Genomic DNA, 18,761 nt, shown 5'->3' with positions numbered 1-18,761 from the left:
CCCCTAAAGATTAGGAGGCATCACTTACTGAGACTGAATAAGAAGAATAATGTTCTGCTTCCTAAATAATGCAAAACCCTGTTTGTAGGAGGAGAGTCTCCGTTTGTGGGATCTTTAAAGTAGATTAAGAACTGGAAAAAAAAAAATTCCGCAGCATTGTACCCTAAGCCTGAAAAATCAAGTCAGTAAGTTTTTCTTTAGGAGTTTATTTTTCCCCAGAATAGCAGAAAGAGAAGACAATGAATCAGAGAAGTTTAGCCATACTTACTTTACTGTAATCTGAGAATTTTTCTCAGGAATAGGAGTGAGATGAAAACTGATGTTCTTGAGGTCAAATGGGCTTCAAATGTTTACTGATTACATTTTAAAAGTATAAGGAGTTCAATTTGGCTCACTGTGAGAAAGAATCTTCTAGGATGTATAGTAGTTTAAAAATGCAGTGCCTTGTCAAGCAGTAAACACCATCCCTAAAAGCATCTAGGCAGAGGCTGGATAGGTAAGCCATGTCTTGGAAAGAGTTAATAGTCTAATTGCAGAGATCAAGTAAGGTATCCTGGGGGAACTCGTATTAAATGGAAGAGTAGAATTTTAGTAGGTGTAAAAGGAGGGGTCTGTGGAAATGGAAGAGAATAGTTAGAAAATAGAAATGGCTAGATGACCCCAAAAACATCCACCTAACTAGGATTTTCTGATATCAAAGCTTAATGATTGGTGTCTCTTAAAGAAAAAAGATTATATTTTCAATCCTAGCATGAATTTATCATACCCTAGTAAGTCATTTCTGCCGTTTGCCTCTGTCTCATCTGATTATGGGACTATTTTATTAAAATTTGCTATAAAATAGTATTCTCACAAAAAAACTAGCTGGGTGTGGTGGTGTGTGCCTGTAATCCCAGCTACTTGGGAGGCTGAGACAGGAGAATCACTTGAACCTGGGAGGTAGAGGTTGCAGTGAGCCGAGATCGCGCCACTGCACTCCAGCCTAGGCAACAAAGTAAAACTCCATCTCAAAAAAAAAAAAAAAAAAATAGCATTCTCTATTTACTTTATGCTTCTTTAATTCTAATTTTTATTTTCTCCATTTAGAAACTTCTCAAATTTGAAATTTAGCCACTAGCTTTAAGTAGAAAAACACCAATGATACAGTATATGACAATAATATATCGTAACTTGGTTATAACATATAATTATGTTTCATTCATCCTCTATTCCCTTTATTGCGTGTTCAGCTTAAATACAAGCCCTGTGATATTTGAAAGCATCAGTACCTATGGTGTATTCTGCTGAGAAGTCAAGAATCTCTGAAACATTGTGATTTCTTCTCAGGCAATGTCAGAAAACAAGTTTGTTTTTTTGAATTGGCGAACATAGAACCAAACTTAAGAAAACACTTGGGCTTTGTTCTTTAAAAGTTGCTCTGAATAACAATTATAAGGCAGGAAGTTAAGAAAATATAGCAGCAGAACTCTTGCTTATTGGAATGTTTTTCAAGTTTTTCCATAAGGTGTCGACAGTTCTCTGTCAACTTGAAGGCTGAAAACACAAAAAGCAGTCTTGATTGTCAGGTGCTCTGTGACATCCCTCTCCCACCACTCCCAAGCACTCTGAGCTCCAGTTCAGATGTTTCAGTGTTTTGTAATTTATTCTGTCTCTAAATATCATTTCCCCATTATCTCAGGATTTGCTTTCAGGATGCCTACATTGTGTCATCAATTACCCTGAAAGTACTATAGCACAGATCTTGCTCTATCTTACATTGATAGTATATGGGGTAAAATGGAATTGTTAACAATAATAATGAAACTATTGGTATAGTAAAATATGTCTATATTTTGGCCATACTGTAATCTGAGTATTTGAAATATTTGGAATATCCAGTATTTGGATTTTTTGTTGAGAAGGCTCCTTTGACTGTACAGTAATTTTCTCACTTTTAAATATTTTCTTTTCATGGAATTGTACTAATATATAATTTTGTCGTCTCACTTACTGGCATTACATATGTCTCTTTGAGCTCTTGGGATGATTTAGTCAGTGGTCTTTGACCAAACAGTAAGAAAGAGCACTTTATAATTCTACAAGCGTTCTCAGTGGTCACATAGAAATGTAAGTGAATGTGAGTTTATGCTTCCCTTTCGTTAGCCAACTATCATTCCAAAGTGAGATAAATTATAACTTTCACTGATTTTGAAGGTAAGGATTTGGAAAGGGCACTTGTAAACTATAGATTTGTTGTTTTTCATTTCAAGATCTAAGTAAATGAAAAGAGAAGGACAATATTTTAATAGGCTTTTAATAAAAATGCAGTTTTTAAAAATGGGGTAGTCTCCATATTCTGGGGATTTCTAGACATTTTAAATGAAATGTTACAATGCTGTTAAACATCTAAAATATTTAGTCATTAAAATGTCTTATTTTAAGAATACTGGTTCATTCTTAAGTTGTTTTACGTGGTCTTACGTATTGATTCCTTGAATAAAGGAAAAAAATACCTACATGCTGCTTTCCATTTCCTATATAACAGAGATAAGTGTAATAATTGGAAAAGTCATTAGAACCACTTTGTAGCTCCTTTATTGTACCAAACACTTGTGGAGGGCTAACGAACCATCCAGAAATGAAGAAGGGAATATAATAGCTGAGAGTTCCCATATTCAGAATGCATCTTTCATTTACTTTAACTATTCAGGTCTCATCTTAAAGAATTCCTTATAGGAATCTCTATGGCAATCTGGTGTTTAGACCAGAGAGGAAAGCACATAAGGCCTGGGCGTTTTACCAGTCTTTCTGCTCTTTGTCATATGCTGTTTGGTTATCACCTAGAGGGTACTTCTGTGCCTCAATTTCCCACATTTATCAAAGATGACAATATAGCTCTGTAGTTAATTATAAAAATAATTTAACAAACATTTAATTTTTCTATTTGATTATATGTTCTGTTCCTGAATGTATAAAGACATGCATGTATAGTCATGTATACATTCCTAATATTCATGTATAAATATAAAGCCTAAAGCTTATTCTTTAGAATGGCAGGGCATTAAAATATTCATGCCAGTTTTTCCAATATATCAATTTGTGGGACTAGATTTGGCAAAGCTATCATTTGTAATGACGACTGTAATGCAGATGGATCTTAGTGACTGTATATAGAAACTGGGGGGAAGGGAGTAGCAATCGTTCTTTGTTTTTTAGGATGAAGCAGAAAAATCTGCTCTTTCCTATATATGGAGGAATTTGTTAGAAGCAAGGACTAAAATAAGGAATTACTGATCAGCTAGAAATTATATTTCTCTTATCTTCCTACTTCACTAATATTTTTATCTTCTGAAAATGTATGGGTATTTTTACATTGAGATATTACCGACTTTGGATGAAACCAGTATTTTTCATTTGCAACCAGGAGTATATAACTGGTGTTATCTAAATTCTCTTTAACGAGTCATCAGCACTTTTATTGTAGGCGTCTCAGGCATAAACATCAATAGTGGAATATCCTGTTTCATTCTTAAAGAAATTGGCAATGATTCACATCCATGTGATATAACCTTTCCATGGGATGTGATTCAGAAGGCCAGTGAAGAAGGCACTTTTAAAATCATACTTTTCCTCATTTGAAAAATATCCCCCTAATTAAAATTTACTGCCATAATCCACTGTTATCAGTAGGATTGTATAATGTTCCTCAAATGTGTTGAATTGGAAAAGTTTAAGAATGATTGATTTAGAAATAAGATGATGTCTTCTCAGTATAATCTATAGCCATATTCAAGTAGAAACAACAAATACTCGGAAATGGTAGTGATTAAAGGGTGAGTAGAGAAAAGAAAAGACTAAAATGAGCCCTTTCGCATCTAGTAAGTCACATCTTCATTAATATCAGATCTCTAGAATATTTGCTTAGATTCAAGTTATCAAATTCATATGTGTGTTTTCTCTCGGTGCTTCTCTTGTTCACCAATCAATATTTTATTATCTTTTATTGATTGAAAAGGTGCGTGTGCAGAGTTGTGGTAAGTCAATGCCCATGCAAACCTCACTAAAGCAGCTTTTAGTAGTGAAAATAGTTGATAGTAGACTGTTCTTATTAAAATGAAAAACTTTTGCTACACTATGTAAATGCCAACAATAGACAATTCTAAGACAGCTTATTCAGAGCTTATAATTACAGGGGTAAGGAAAAGCCTATCTTCAAAATGCATCAGTTTTCCCTAAAATCTATGTTTACTCTTAAATTGATGCTGAAAAATATGTAATATCAATCAATATGTTTTTGATTCAGTAACCCTGTGTTGACATATCCTTGATTTTTTTTTAAAGATGAGATTAATGAAAAGACATATCTATACTTTCTCTTAGTATTTCTAAAATATAATAGCAGAGATTATTACCCATTGCTTGTAGCTTTCCTGGGGGATGCAAGTGCTTCCTCCTGCTTTTTGGCCCATTTCTGAGATATCGTTAGAAACTCACTAGTTGGAAGAATGTTGAGGGCTAAAGAGCCTGCCTTTCCTTCATTACACCCAAGACCCTGTTAGTTCTATTAGTAAGGGGGAGAAATAAGAGATGCTTTTATTTTTTCCTGTTATTCATATAAATAGAGGATGTGAATATTTAGAGTGGTTTATTTTAAAATACTAACCCCCAACAATATTTTAAAAGGAAGATTTCCTATACAAAAAAAAAATGTTTAACAATCTGCTCCTAGAAAAGAGGCATATTCTACATATTGTAAACATATATCTACAGTAGTAAATTAAATGATCTCAGAGTTTACAAGCCAGGGTTATGCCTTAATTTGAAGGTCATTGCATTCTCAATATACCACGTTCACAATTCCTTTTCAAGTATTTGCTCTCAGCAAAATGAAAAGCATATTATCTGCCATTTTAATCATTTTGTCAAAGATAAAATAAACTCATCCTCCCCGTGTAGACCTTTGTACCTTGGTAACCAAGTAAATCTGCCTGACACTTGTAGGCAAAGCACCCTATTGGTTTTACTCTGTACACTTTAATAAACACTCAAGGTAAAAATAGAAGCAAGAGATGACGAGTAATAAAGGTAAGAGACATAATCAATTATTATTATTCCTTTGAATGTACGTGTAACAGTGGATGTCACAAATGAAATATTACATCTCTATTTGAAAATTTGTCAATGTGTCCTTTTTTCTTATGCATTTCACTCAAATTATGATAAAATTTTGGCAATTCCTGGAACAATAATTAGGATTATTATTACCATTCTATAATGATAAGCAATTCTAAAATATAAAGAGAGAGAGAGAGACAGAGAACACACACTTGATAATTCTTAAAGCATGTGGTTGTACTGTAACTGTCTGGGCAGTGTCCAACATGTAGAAACATATGCATGAGCCCTTAGTACTGAGTTAATTAAACATATATTTAAATAATTTAGAAAAAGGTCACTCTAAGTTTTGTGAAAACACGATATGTGTATGCCATTTTTGTTTAATGATCTTAGAACCCTCTTTTTGATTGGTACATTCCGAACTATTGTTGAAATACCACTTGTGACAAATTTAAAGATTATTCGAGTAAATGAACATAATATTCTAAACCTTGAATATTTGACTGTGTTTTTGTGTCTCACAGTTACATTTTCTTTGAGCTTGGAGATTCTTCCTAACCTTAGTGGGTTTATATGTAACGACTAATGTAAAGAAAGAAAATAGAAGAGCTTAACTGTTTTGCTGAATGTTTTGACTGTCTCCTGGGCCTTCAGACCACTCAAACTCCATAGAAAGAATATAGTTACTAGAAGTGAACAAGTAAGTAATAATATAGTACAAACAAAAGATTGGGTTTGTAGGTGAAATATCAGTACCAGGAGAATCATTTCTGAAATGTTCTTCTTCTGACTAGCTTCATGAGTGTATTTTTAAACTAGTTTTTCTTAAAACATGACAGTTTACTCTTTCTCATTCTCTCCCTCTCCCCCTGCCCCTCATTATTTACAAAATTCTATATAGAATTTTACATGACATTACATTCAAGTAATGTAAGATTACTTTAAAAACTAGCAAATAGATTTGCTGTTTCTGTGGCAGTTTTTACAAGCACTGTAGGAATTTAGCATTGTGTCCTGAGTTGATTCTGTAATCATGTCTTAGGAGAAACAAATTCTGAGAGTCTATGTAGTCTGGGTAGGTACTTATTATACTTCACAGATTTTCAATTATTTCCAACTAGGGGTTTCTTAACTAAGAGTATATTTTGACAATGAAAAAAAAAATGTACTGCATTTTCCCCTCCCTTAACAGCCAAATTGTGTTTGCCAATGCTTCCACTGGAAACAGAGGGAATCATAGGTAGAACCGTTTAAAAAATATTTTGAATACTCTTGGCTTTCTTAACCACGCAAAAGAAAACTTCTGATTTGGCAAAAGTAGTCTGAGCTGAGAAATACTTTAAGTATTTTACTACCAAGTAAAATATTTGTAGTGTAATTTCAAATACTTTTTTTTTTTTTTTAGCATATCCGTTCTTGTCTGTGTGGACAACTTATGATGTTTATCTTACCTGTGGGGATTGTTTTACCAATTTATGTGTGCTGTGTAAGCTTTTATTTGAGGAGGGTGTCAGAGGGAGGGATATTTTCACAGTTAATTTCTTTACCCAAACTTAATATTAGTTTTTCTTCTTTGTCAATGACAAGATTTTTTTTCTTTCCAAAATGAAGAACTTTTCTTCTTTCAAATATAACAAATTTCATTTTGTTATAAGAATTACGTTGGTGAGACATCTTTCTAGATCTCCCTCTCTCCCATTTATTAGGAAGTAATTACATAAGAAAATAGTAGTTTCTAAGGTGTATGTGGGACTTAGCCCTTAACTATTAGCACACGTATATATTATAGCCAAATAATTAACAAAATATAATTATGTAAATATATGAAATAAAGTCCTGGTTTAACATAATGATACTTCCAATAATTTGTTGAAGCTAAGAATGAGGGCTCTGAGGTCACGCTGCCATCTGACAACTTTGATGTTTCCCCTGACTAGCTATGACTGTGGGCAAGTTAGTTGACCTCTGTAAAGTGGGCACAAAGTTGTATCCAACTCATAGAGCCATGGTGAGAATGAACTGAGATAGTGTATCTGGGGCACATATAGCAGAGTCCCTGGCATGAGCCCACATTACATTGTGTAGTTTTCAGATGGCCCAAAGGTATTCCATTGAGGGGATGAATTCAGGGTGAACAGGCTGAAAGGCATCTGTTGCCCCTCTTCCTGGCCATGCTCTTGCTTGCTGGGCAAGGTCAGGCAAAAGAAAGTATCTTTTTAATTTGAACAGAGGAATCCAGTAGGATAGTGGTGGCTGTATACGTCAGCCATGCTAAGAACATGCGCCCTCTTTTTTCAGGTAGTCCTTGTGGTTTTGAAGTCAGCCTGTGTCTCACATAATCATTGTGAGAGTATGATGTTAACAACACTTCTTCCACAAGGTAGTTAGAAAGTGAAAAAGGCAGATAGCCAAGTGATTTATATAAATATAATCACTTAAAGGTTTCTGTTAGCATCATTGTTATTATATAAAGCTTATCAATTAGTAAAAAGATAACTATAGTTAAGATGTATCATTTGTAGTATTAATGTAAAACATGTAGTGATAGGTTAGGGCTATGCATAACAGAACAACTATTAAAAGGCAGTTTATGCCTTTTGGGTTTACACTGGAGTTCTAGAATAAAATGGGAGGGAGAAGATGATTAGAAACTGCATGAGGAGCACCACTTTTGAAACTAATGCTGACAGCTGATAACAAGAGCAAAGTTATTGTAACTGGTAGTGGACGTTTGAATTGTTGAAATGTGCCATGTTCATATTTTACTTCCAATATTTTCCCTTGACATAATGGATTCTGAAATGAAATGTATAGAGGACTATTTTTAAACTAAGATTTCATTTTAAAGAATATCACACATAAGGGATTTAATTAAAGGATAATGAAGGAGCAAAATAAAGAATCAGGAATCTTAGGTTTTGGAGAGATACTCAAGATATGAAATCTATTTTGAAGCTAACACTGGAGATAAAAGTCAGGAGCTCTCCCATGTTTTTCTGTGATATTAAGGAAATTAAGTCAGAATCCCATCTCTACAGTAGACTGTTTCACTTAACCATTTTACTGACTCCACTTCACCCTTCTGCTTCCTGAATCTAGACACAAACTGAATTTATCCCCTTGGACTGCTCTTCTTTCTCCACTGCCTCTGATCAAATATCACCTGGATATTTTAGATTGGCAGTTTCACATAGTTCAACCTTATAGATACATCCAGACTAATGTAAACCTGTTCAGATCATGTTGACTTACTTCCTCTTTTGCCCACCATATCTGTGGTTTCCAAATCATACAGATTTTTTATCTCCTCAGTGCCTTTCCTCCTTTCCTCTTGCACTGCAGAAACACCAGACTCTCATTCCTTCTCCGGTGAGATCCTGAAGAAGCCTTGGAATTTGTTTTTCTAGTTCTCTATCTCGTCCCACACGAGTCAGCTGTACTTAAGGGTAGCACTTAAGGACCAGCAAGTACTCTATGGCTCCAGCCTAGATTTCCAGACCTATTTTGCCCTAATTCCATATAAATAGCCTCATTAGAAATAAAGTGGGCCACTAATTATTCCTCATTATGATCCAGACATATTACTGTTTCCTTGTGTTTTTACATTTTATTCCTTCTTGCTTCTCCTCTACTCTTTCCCAAACCCCAGCTATAGCTATATTCTAAGTTTTTCACCTTTCAATCCTAATAAATTTAGCACGATGCTTTTCAGATGGCTACTCAATAACTGTGGTAAGTTACACTCAGGATGCCTCCCATAGTTCTGGGGAAGTTCCCCTTTTGACTTCTAAACTGAGAAAAAAACGTTATACCTATTTCTGCACCTACAGTGCTTCACAGTGAGTGATTACAAATGTTTAATTGTATGTTTTCCCAGCCGATTATAAACTGCATTAAGGCATCTACAATGTGTATTGTACTGTAGCATGGCTTGGTACAATGCCTGGCAGATAGCATATGCTTAGAAAATACTGTAGAATAAATGTTGCAGAAAGTTGGTGCTCAGTACATGTTTTAAATCTTGTATGTGTGATTATATATATTTGGTCTTTGTAATTCACGGCATAATAACTGATGAAATAGTCACTATTACAATTTTTTCATGTGTTCAGGGAAGGAGGTCCTTTAATTTGCTTACTAAGGCTTAATCTTATGGTGAAGAGGAGAAATAAAAATTGTATTGTATAACAAATTGAATACACTTGAAAAATTATCAGCCGTTTGATTAGGGAATGCATTTTTAGTTTTCATAACACATGAAAATCTATATGCTGTCAAGGAAAGGTTATTCTAACATTTAAGGAATTACACAAATTCTGTTCTTTAACATGACAGAATAATAGAAAGAGTCCTCTTTGTAATGTTAGGGCAGCTAAGCGTGACCAACATAACTGAGAAGTTTGTTGCCATTATTATCGTTAAATCTATCATTATATCTTTGTGTAATTAAATCTTTATAAAAGCAAATGAGATGAGGTATACTTCTAATAATTAGTGGTTTAGAATAAATGAAGAATTTATAAAGTATATTAATAGTAAGAGGACACCTGACTAAAATCTCAACAGCAAAGATAACTATGACCTGAATTAAAGAGAAGAAAAAACTAAGAAAAAAAAAGATCAAACAGTATTAATATTTCTGCATTTCAGGTGAGTTATCTACATTTTGCTGGTATTTTTCTTCTCATTATCTGTAGAAATCCATAGAAACAAGTCTCTGTGCAGCTCCAAATGCCCCCAATTCCATTTTATATGGTATTTCCAATAAGGGCACCGTTTCTTGCAAAGAATATTACATCTCACTAATTGTCCTACAAATCCCATTCTTAATTAAAATCAAAATCTTAATTGTAACAACTTTACTATATAGCTTGCAAATATGTGTTCTTTCTTGTTTGTTTGGAGGATGAGGCTCTGGATACATCTTTTTTTTTTTTTTTTTTTTTTTTTTTTTTCTTTTCGAAAGGAGCAGCCCTGGTGAGAGAAATTTACAGCAATTGATTTTGTTTGTTTGTGGCTGCAGCCATAAAAACTCCCAGGCAAAACTAAATAGTGCTTGTGGGGCACAGACATGGTGGTTCACAGGGAAACAGTGAGTTTTATAATACTGATAACACTAAACAATAAGACAAGGTATAATAGTTCCAGTCCCATCATTTGTCTCTGCTTTGTCCTGAGTTGTACGCTCCGTCATGCATATGCTGGCTATAATGTGACATATTTAATTCTGCATTTAGTCTCTGCTTTGTTACACATGCTCGAAAATAGCAAGTCAGCTTCTCAAATGCCATGCATCAGCCCTCTAACAACAACAACAACAAAATTAAATACAAAGTAAGTTTGAATAACAGTAACGGTGGGAAAATCTATCCCAGGGTTCATTCTTTTTACAGGGAGTTGGCAAACCAGGAAGAATAGATTTTGTCATGTGCAAATATGGTGACCATAAATGGTGCTGGAGGCTTTTTCCATTGTCCTCTGAGTTTGCCATGAGAGAAAGCGGGTGAGAGAAAGAAAGACACGTTTGATAGAGTTGTGAAGAACGTTTGAATGGCTATTGGGTGTTGAGCATTGTCTTGCAGTGACCTCAATTCGGTACAGTAGAGACCCTTGAAAGCACTGTCTGAAGTCACAATACCACTATTCTCCTCCATTTAGTAAAAGGGATTAGTTAAAAGGGTGACGTTCCGTGCAGAGAGTTCCAAGTATTCCATGAAACAAAAGGCTCTGAAATGTTTTTGAAGTTATTTTTAATTGAGTTGAACTAATTTAATAAAGGTCCTACGGAGGAAAAAAAATAAAGGAATGTGATTGTTTTATGATTCCTCACAGATGGAATGGACATTTATAGCATACTTTTCCTTTAGTGTTCCAGAGAACAGTAGCTCCATTTACAGCTACTGTTAGCAATTTAAAACTGCTCCAAAATGAAGTCTTTCAAGAAGTTGACAGCTTATAAATAAATCTGTCTGATAAAATTGAACATAAACTGCATCTGTGGTTAGTTTGCCAAAATTAATTCTACATTTAATTAGAGATAGCAGTCAAACATATTTAATAAAAAACAGTCTTGGAGAGTAAATCAAATGAAGTCAGATTTTAGCAGACGTTTTGCATTTTTTTGCAAGGAGTGATGAAATGACCTCACCTCTCTGATTCCCAGTTATATGGCAGCGCGAGCTCTGTAGAGTTATGGGGAAGCCAATGAGTTCACACTGTTTGGAAAGGTTCCTTGCTCAGCTTAGGATAAAGAGAGAAAACGATCATTTTGTGATTTCTCTTGATATCATCATTGGATTTTACACTGATGCCATATGTATTAAATTCACAAGTTAATAAGCGTATTACTGCTAATAATTACAGAGAGCAGGCTAAAATAATTCTAACTCACATAAGTGCAAGTACATGGAATTTGTCCTTAAAGTTTGTTTTTTGTTTACTTTTTTGGCAATCTTCATTGTTGTTGTTGTTTTTTAACTTAGCCATTCCAATGAGATGTATTAAAATCATACAGTAGCTACAATGCCATTTCTTCCCCCTAAAAGACTTTTTAAAAATTCAGCTTTGCTTATCAAATATTTGTGCTCACTCTGCATGGTTTAAGCAATGTGCCATAGCTGTAGAATCCTGGGGAAGATGCAAAAACACACAGATCAATCAGAATGCAGCAAACAATATTTTGGAACCAAAGTGACTTACAGTTCAGAGGGCAAAGAAGCAGATCTTCAAACATTGGAAGTTTCAACACACAGTCCATAGTCCTGGGTGAAGTAAATAGACAGACAATAGAAACCAGCATTGGCAATAAAAGTTTCAAATGCAGATAAAAATTATATTTGTCTACATAAATGCACACAAAAATTAAAGTCAACTAAGCCAAATTTCATTTTGATCTTTTTAAGAGCGTGATGTTACTTTCTTGAAATGTGGGAAAATTTAAGAGATATATCATTGTAGGAGATAACATTGTGGCACTTAGTTAATGTCAAATTTTAATTTGATATTCAACATTTATTTATTGAGTTCCTATATGTTAGCATTGCAATCATAGAAATGGTTAATCTATACTAAATATTTTTCCAAAGTGTTCACATGTTTTTGTGTCATGTAGTTATTAATACTGTTTCTGACTAAAATACACAGAGGCATTCTTTTCAGTTCAAGATATTTTGTCCTCTCAGAAACATATTTTTATCTTACATGCAGTAATTTGCCTTCCCAGTAACTTTATACAATTTTGCTAAAAATTGTAATAGGAAATAAAAGTAGTATGAACTTATTCCTGAAGTTAAAACAATATATAATTGTTCCAAAGTTTCCTCTGTGAGCCTTACATTGCTTGTACTCTGAAAAAATAAAGCAGTAGTAATTGTATACAACACAGAAAGTTTATCTACTAATTACTTTTAGTTCTCCTGTGGAATAATTACGCTATCTTAAAACTCATAGGTAGAATTATGAGGATGTTAATGTGCTACACTTGTTTAATCACTTATTAAAATACAGATCGGCTCTCGACTGTAACTACAAAAAAAGGTGTTTAAAAATCAGGTATCTCAAAAAGAAGAGTTGACCAGCTCAATCATGCTATAACATATAAATCATCAATAACCAAAGGACTGATTGATCTCCTTAGTATATATAGATACTATATATTGATACTTTGTCTGTATATTGATACTATATTAATTTAATGACTGATCTCCTTAGTATACATATTGGACCCAAGAAAACAATTTTTTAATCAGTGGTTTCAAATTAGTGTTTCAGTGTCGTTGCAGGATTAGGATATTATTAATGCAACTTTGTGAATAAATACCAAATTACTGTTCTCTCATTTAATAAAAATAAATAAAACAATAAAAACATCCCCCTTAATTTAGGAAATATGCAAAAATGTACTATTTATTTTCATGTCATACATTTTGTAGGTCCTTGGAAAATAACTTTCCTCAAAGTTGCATTTAACAACTTTGTTATAATTTATGACATGAACAACTTTGGAAGTATGGGTTAACAGTTAGATGGTTCCCTGTGGTCTTGGCAGAAAAACCCTTTCACCAGTTGATCTTATCTTGGGCAAGTCATTTAACCTGGCTGGGTCAAGTTTACTTTATCTTTAAAATGAAAATATTGCGTAAATTCTGAAGCTGGTTTTTTTTTTTTAATTTTATTGTTAGAGCATTTCTATCCACCCTACTTTTTTTTCTCTTAATTTAAACAAATGCCATGTCTTTTCATCATTTTGGCTGCTACGTGAGGTGATGTTGAACAGAGCAAAACTCATGGGGGAAGGGAGACAGAAATTGCACCTGGGCAGAGTTGTAATTTTTGCTGTATCATCAGGTGTAAAAAATTAATGGTAAGCAGAGAAGGAGGGCAGTTGATGGTTTCACGACATTGATGAAAGACACTAAGTCATAATAACCATATTTCTATTAAAAAATTCTATAATGACAATAAAACATTCTTTCATTGCTAAGGAAGTTGAGAGGTTTGGTTCAGAAATGCCTTAAAAAGTGCTCTGTAAAGATACATATTCTAGAAATGCTAAATAAAGTTTTCGAAAACCCTTGTAGTTCCTGGAAATTAACACATTGAATATGTGAAGTTGAGGCTTTGTGGAGAGCATAGAGATAATTGCTCTCAAATATCAGTGCCTTTACCTTACTTGAGGTTCTTACCATGAGTCACAGTGTATCACAGAGTTCTCCCAAGCAGACTCCCTGCCTCCTGTCTCTTGTTACAGATCCATTTATCTCACTGATGATGCCAGTTATCTTTTAAAAATGCAAATCTGGTTATGTCATCCTCCTGATTGAAAGCCTTCAATGACTTTCAGTTGCCTACAGGCTAAAGTCTAAACACCTAAGCCAGGCAAACAGGACCCTTATCTCTCTCACTCCAATAGAGCTTTCCAGCCTTCACTCTATGTAGTTGCTTACCCTTGTCCAGGTAATCACAGGTTCAATAACTGTGGCTCATATTCAAAAGCCACAACAAACATCGTATCTTCTGTCAAGCTTTCCTTTTTCAGGTACCTCCTCCTCCTCGTACAAACTGTATTATCACGCCCACTTCACAAAGTTCTCTCTCTCTCCCCTCTTCCATAGCTAGTGTTACTTCTTAGTCACCTTTTTTTAAAACTGTTTTTAAAAATATCCACCATCAAACACAGCATATCTATTTAAGATTTAAAAATAAGCAAACGATAGGTAACTTTGTAGGACAGTAAAATACAATTAATAGTTGAAATGTATTTTGTTGTCATGTGTTTTATGGAAGTTATTTCATCTGTGTACATATTATAAAGGTAAAAGTTATGCTTTTTAAATATAAATTCTAATAATATGTCTGTGCACTATAATTCAATGGAAATACAGGTTGCAGTTCTCTATGGTTTTTTTACATTATTTAAATATTTCCAAATTATTCTTAAGGCTTCTCAAAGCTTATGTATTTAATGTAACATTCAGAATTGCTATGGGTGTGTTGTTAAGATTTTAAATTGCCATTTTGAAGCCAAAACTGAGATTTGTCTTCACTTAGCTGCATATATATATATATATATATATATATATATATATGAAAATACCTTTCGAAGAGAAGTACCACCTTGTATAAATTAGTAATTTCTTTTAATTGCCTCAAATGTTTCAGTCTCGTGTGGACTTTTGAAGTTGTGTGCAGCTTTGATGTTTTATTAATTATTTTCAAGGTGGCTTTCTTTCCAGAGCGAAGCATACATATTGATTTTGTGTATGATGAAGACTGAAATTTCTATCTTGGCACTGATACTCCTTGCAATCAGATCTAGTAAGGGTTTGATCGTTTTAAGCAACTCTCCAACAGTTAACTGTTGGCTGCCAAAGTTCAATTTAGATAAGTGAAGGGGAAGAGTTTAGAAATTTCACACATTAAATGTGTGATGGGAAAAACCCAATATAATGTATTAAAGATGCAGCCTTTGGAAGGAAAACATGGAGTATCGTAAGAATTGTGCGCCAGTCTCCAAAGGTTTTCAGTCAGGTTTGGTTCAGAAAAGCCCTTGAATGTGTTGGAAGCAGATCTTGGAAGGGGCTGTGTGGTGTGTCGGGGAAAGCACCAGAGTCAGTCTTGGTTACACATAGACTGTAAAGTCGACTGTGGTAGCATGACAAAAATTGGTCTGTGTAGCTTGCCACTGCCAATCTTCATGATTGATACAGATTGTTGGAGCCATAGCTATCATATGGTGCTCCATATTGATTGTTAAATCTGCAAAAGTGAATTATTTAGAATGTATTTTTCCATCCCATTGGCTAATTCTTCCTGTGTCAAAGAGTTTTAAAACATTTGACCTTCACTCTCAATTCTCAGTTGTTACCATGACTTGAAGGAAACGATATAACTGTTTATTCCTAGGGCTTGGATAATAGTATTGTAATCTGATTCTTAAGGAATACTGTAAAGGAGAGCTTCACATTTGAAAAGTCAGTATATAAAAGGTTCTCAGTAAGTTAGTAGTTTCTATTTTTAGGGATGGTTTGGATTTTATTTTTTTTAAGAAAAAATTGCCATCTAGACTTTAGGAAAGAGAATTAGAAGTCTCATGCCAAATAAACTCCTTAGAAGAGCTTTCAGTCTTACCAACCATTACAAAAAAAAAAAAAAAAAAAAAGGCAGCTTTGGATCTTTTTTAGTATTTCACATTGGTCCTATTTATCTATAGAATTCAAATGCAATCAACATGAATATGAAAATACTTTAGACTTTTTCACATGGAAAAAGATTCTGCATGTTTGCAAGGGGCAAGTGACATAGGAGAGTTTTCTTTAAATCACCTATAATGTCAGGATCATTTAAAGCAAGCAACCAGAATGCTGGATTGTGCTGTTGGAAAGAACCCACATAAGAATGAAAACAGATGGTATTATCATTCTACCCCAAGCACTGTGTGGATTTTTTTGGTCAGAGTCTGATTGAAGTTTCTGAAATTATTAAGTGGATAGATAATAGAGAGTAAGTAAATGAGAGCATGGAGGGCTTGCCAAGTCTTTAATGCTCACTTAAACAAAACTGCCTGCAGGTTCAACAAACCCATGCCTGGGTTTTGTGGGTTTACAAGGTCCGTCTCCAGAAAAGTTGTTTTAGGTGATGGTCACCATTTTAATTAAAGGGATATCAAACTATATGTTTAGAGAGATAATAACAAGCCACCCAAACCCAGATGCTAGATGCCACACATGTTGGAGAGGGCTGTAAGAAGGGAGAAAGAAACCAACGACAAAAAACACTCTCTCATTCTACAGGCTGGATTTAAAGTAAACCAATGGGGCGAAAGTTACAACCATTTTCATTTTCCATCCCAGAGATCTTCCTCCCCAGTGTCCTCCTCCTTTACTCCATATCTAAGTGTTGAGTATCTCCATTTCTTCCTCTCCAATTGCTAACTCCATTTCTCTTTGGTGGGAATCAGCATCTTGCCTTTGTATGCAGGAATTTGTGCATTCTGAGCATTTCCTTTGCATTACATTATGTGTTACTGTGATTTTACTTTGGCCTCCTTGGCTGCTTTGAAAAATTGTCATGAGTTAAACAGTTTAGCAAAAGCTGAAAAAACAAACAAAACAAGCCATGAGATTCAGTGATTACTCTCAGTTAGAGTCCAGCTGAGGAGCATTTAAACTTTGGGTTTGCTTATTTCAATCATGTCTTTTTTAAAAAAAAAATGGTTCAAACATGTTTTTTAAGGTGTAATTTTCTTGATTAAAACAATAAAAAGTTTCTCTAATTCTTGTAGAAAAACTTTTGGGCAGCTTTGGATTATGGCTCTACCCCTTATATATCTGTCTGCAGTTTTACAGTGACTATCATTAGAACTAAATATTTTTTTACATTTTTCCTACGGTCCAGATAATGTAGGTCATAGCTATCTAATAAGAATAGGATTTCTTATACTTAGCCTCTCATTTCTCAAAACATATTGACAAATATAATATTGAGTTTTCATTTAAGACTTATGTGCTATAAAAAATTAGGAAAACCTGCAGGTCCTGTTTCTGACTGGCACTGACTTTTTTTTTTTTTTTTTTTTTTTTTTAATAATTTGAGACAGGGTCTTACTCTCTTGCCCCAGGCTGGAGTGCAGTGATGGTATCATAGCTCACTGAAGCCTCAAAGTTTTGGGCTCAAGCAATCCTCCTGACTCATCCTCTCAAGTATCTAGAACTACAAGCAAGCACCACCACGCTCAGCTAATTTTTATTTTTTTTATTTTTTGTAGAGATGGGGTCTCCCTATGTTGCCCAGGCTGGTCTTGAATTTCTGAGCTCAAGCAGTCCTCCTGCCTCTGCCTCCCAAAGTGCTGGGATTATAGGGGTGAGCCACCATGCCTGGCTGGCATTGCCTATTAATGAAAAGGACCATCAGCAGGAAGCTAATCAATTTAGGTTTGGAGAGTTAAAAAAAAAACAAAATAAAACAAACAAACAAAAAAACAAAAGAAAGTAATCCAAAGAGTAGAAACCAAATTTCCCAAGTTATACAGTAGAGTCATTGTTAAGATTTCTGAGTAGGTCACAAAACTTTCAAGAGAAGTGTGATAAATGCTTCAGAGAAATGGCGAAAGTGAATTCAAGAGTGGTATGAAAAGCTTTGGAATTTTCTTTAACACATACAAATTTTGTTCATGTGAAAAAATTAAGACTTAAATTGAATATTGAGCTTTTTTTTTTTTTTTTTTTTTTTGGTAGTTTACAGAAATAAACACTAAGCCTGACACCAGGTTTGTGTGGGAGTAAGGTAAATTTGGGCTAAATGACTGATGTACTGTTTGGGTATAAACATTAGATTCCATATTGCAACTGTCTGTCACTACTCTTGTCATTAATCAAATAGGTACTAAAATGTACAGCAATGTTTAACTATATTTAATGTAGTTAGTTTTTATAATCATTGCTGGTACCTATCCAGGTGCAGGTGGTAGCTGTTTTTTTTTTCCTGAGTTAAGATTATGAAATCATTCACTGTCTTTCTATAGAATTAGAATTTGAGTATACAGGTTTGATTCGATCTGCTGAATTTGGTGTCATTTGTGGTCTAGAGAAAATGCAGGATTTAAAAATCATGGAGGTTACTGAAGTGTTGGGGGAAGAGGAAATAAATGTATATGATTCTTGTGTGTGACCTGATGAGAGATCAGGTGCATTTATATTTCCATTTGGATACATTTATGAATTTAGAAATAAAACATGAATTTGAAAGAGGAACAAGAGCTGTGTGGTTCTACTGAACTTGTTCTACATCTTGTGTACACTGAGCTTTTTTTTTTGAGGGATGTAGGCATGGTCTCTGTCATCCAGGCTAGAGTGCAGTGTCAGATTTTATTGAGAATCTATCAAGAAGTAATCTGATAGAAGTCTCACCTTTTCTCTGTCTCAGATTTACTCTTTTCCATATTAATTATGAAATAGCCAAAAACTGGGAGCAAGATTAAAGAAGCAATAAATAAAATTTATTGTCTATTCTTTCTGCATGGTTTTGTAAAATTTCATAAATTCATTGTGTATTATTTATTTATTTATCTTTCCTCTCAGAAGATATCAAAAATATGTAATCAGAGCACTTGTGCTAGGTAAAAGGTTAAATTTGAATCATTGTTGAAAAATTCTAGTTTCTAATAC

The 18,761-nt window shown here is 34.1% G+C and overlaps 1 protein-coding gene across 20 annotated transcripts in view, besides 1 other annotated feature; it reads left to right on the top strand.

The window, feature by feature from the left end:
- SOX5 (SRY-box transcription factor 5) overlaps positions 1 to 18,761 on the top strand; it is a 1,033,147-nt gene that overhangs the window by 470,194 nt on the left and 544,192 nt on the right. The gene's annotated exons all lie outside the window — the stretch shown is intronic.
- Positions 9,757 to 11,507: an enhancer, noted in NCBI's record as "VISTA enhancer hs895". NCBI's record gives its function as "enhancer in: hindbrain (rhombencephalon)[5/8] | limb[5/8] | trigeminal V (ganglion, cranial)[5/8]" and the evidence as "EXISTENCE:transgenic organism evidence [ECO:0001131][PMID:17130149]".

Source organism: Homo sapiens, chromosome 12 (genome assembly GCF_000001405.40).
Source record: "Homo sapiens chromosome 12, GRCh38.p14 Primary Assembly".
Lineage (NCBI taxonomy): Eukaryota > Metazoa > Chordata > Mammalia > Primates > Hominidae > Homo > Homo sapiens.
This window is presented reverse-complemented; position numbering and strand designations above follow the sequence as displayed.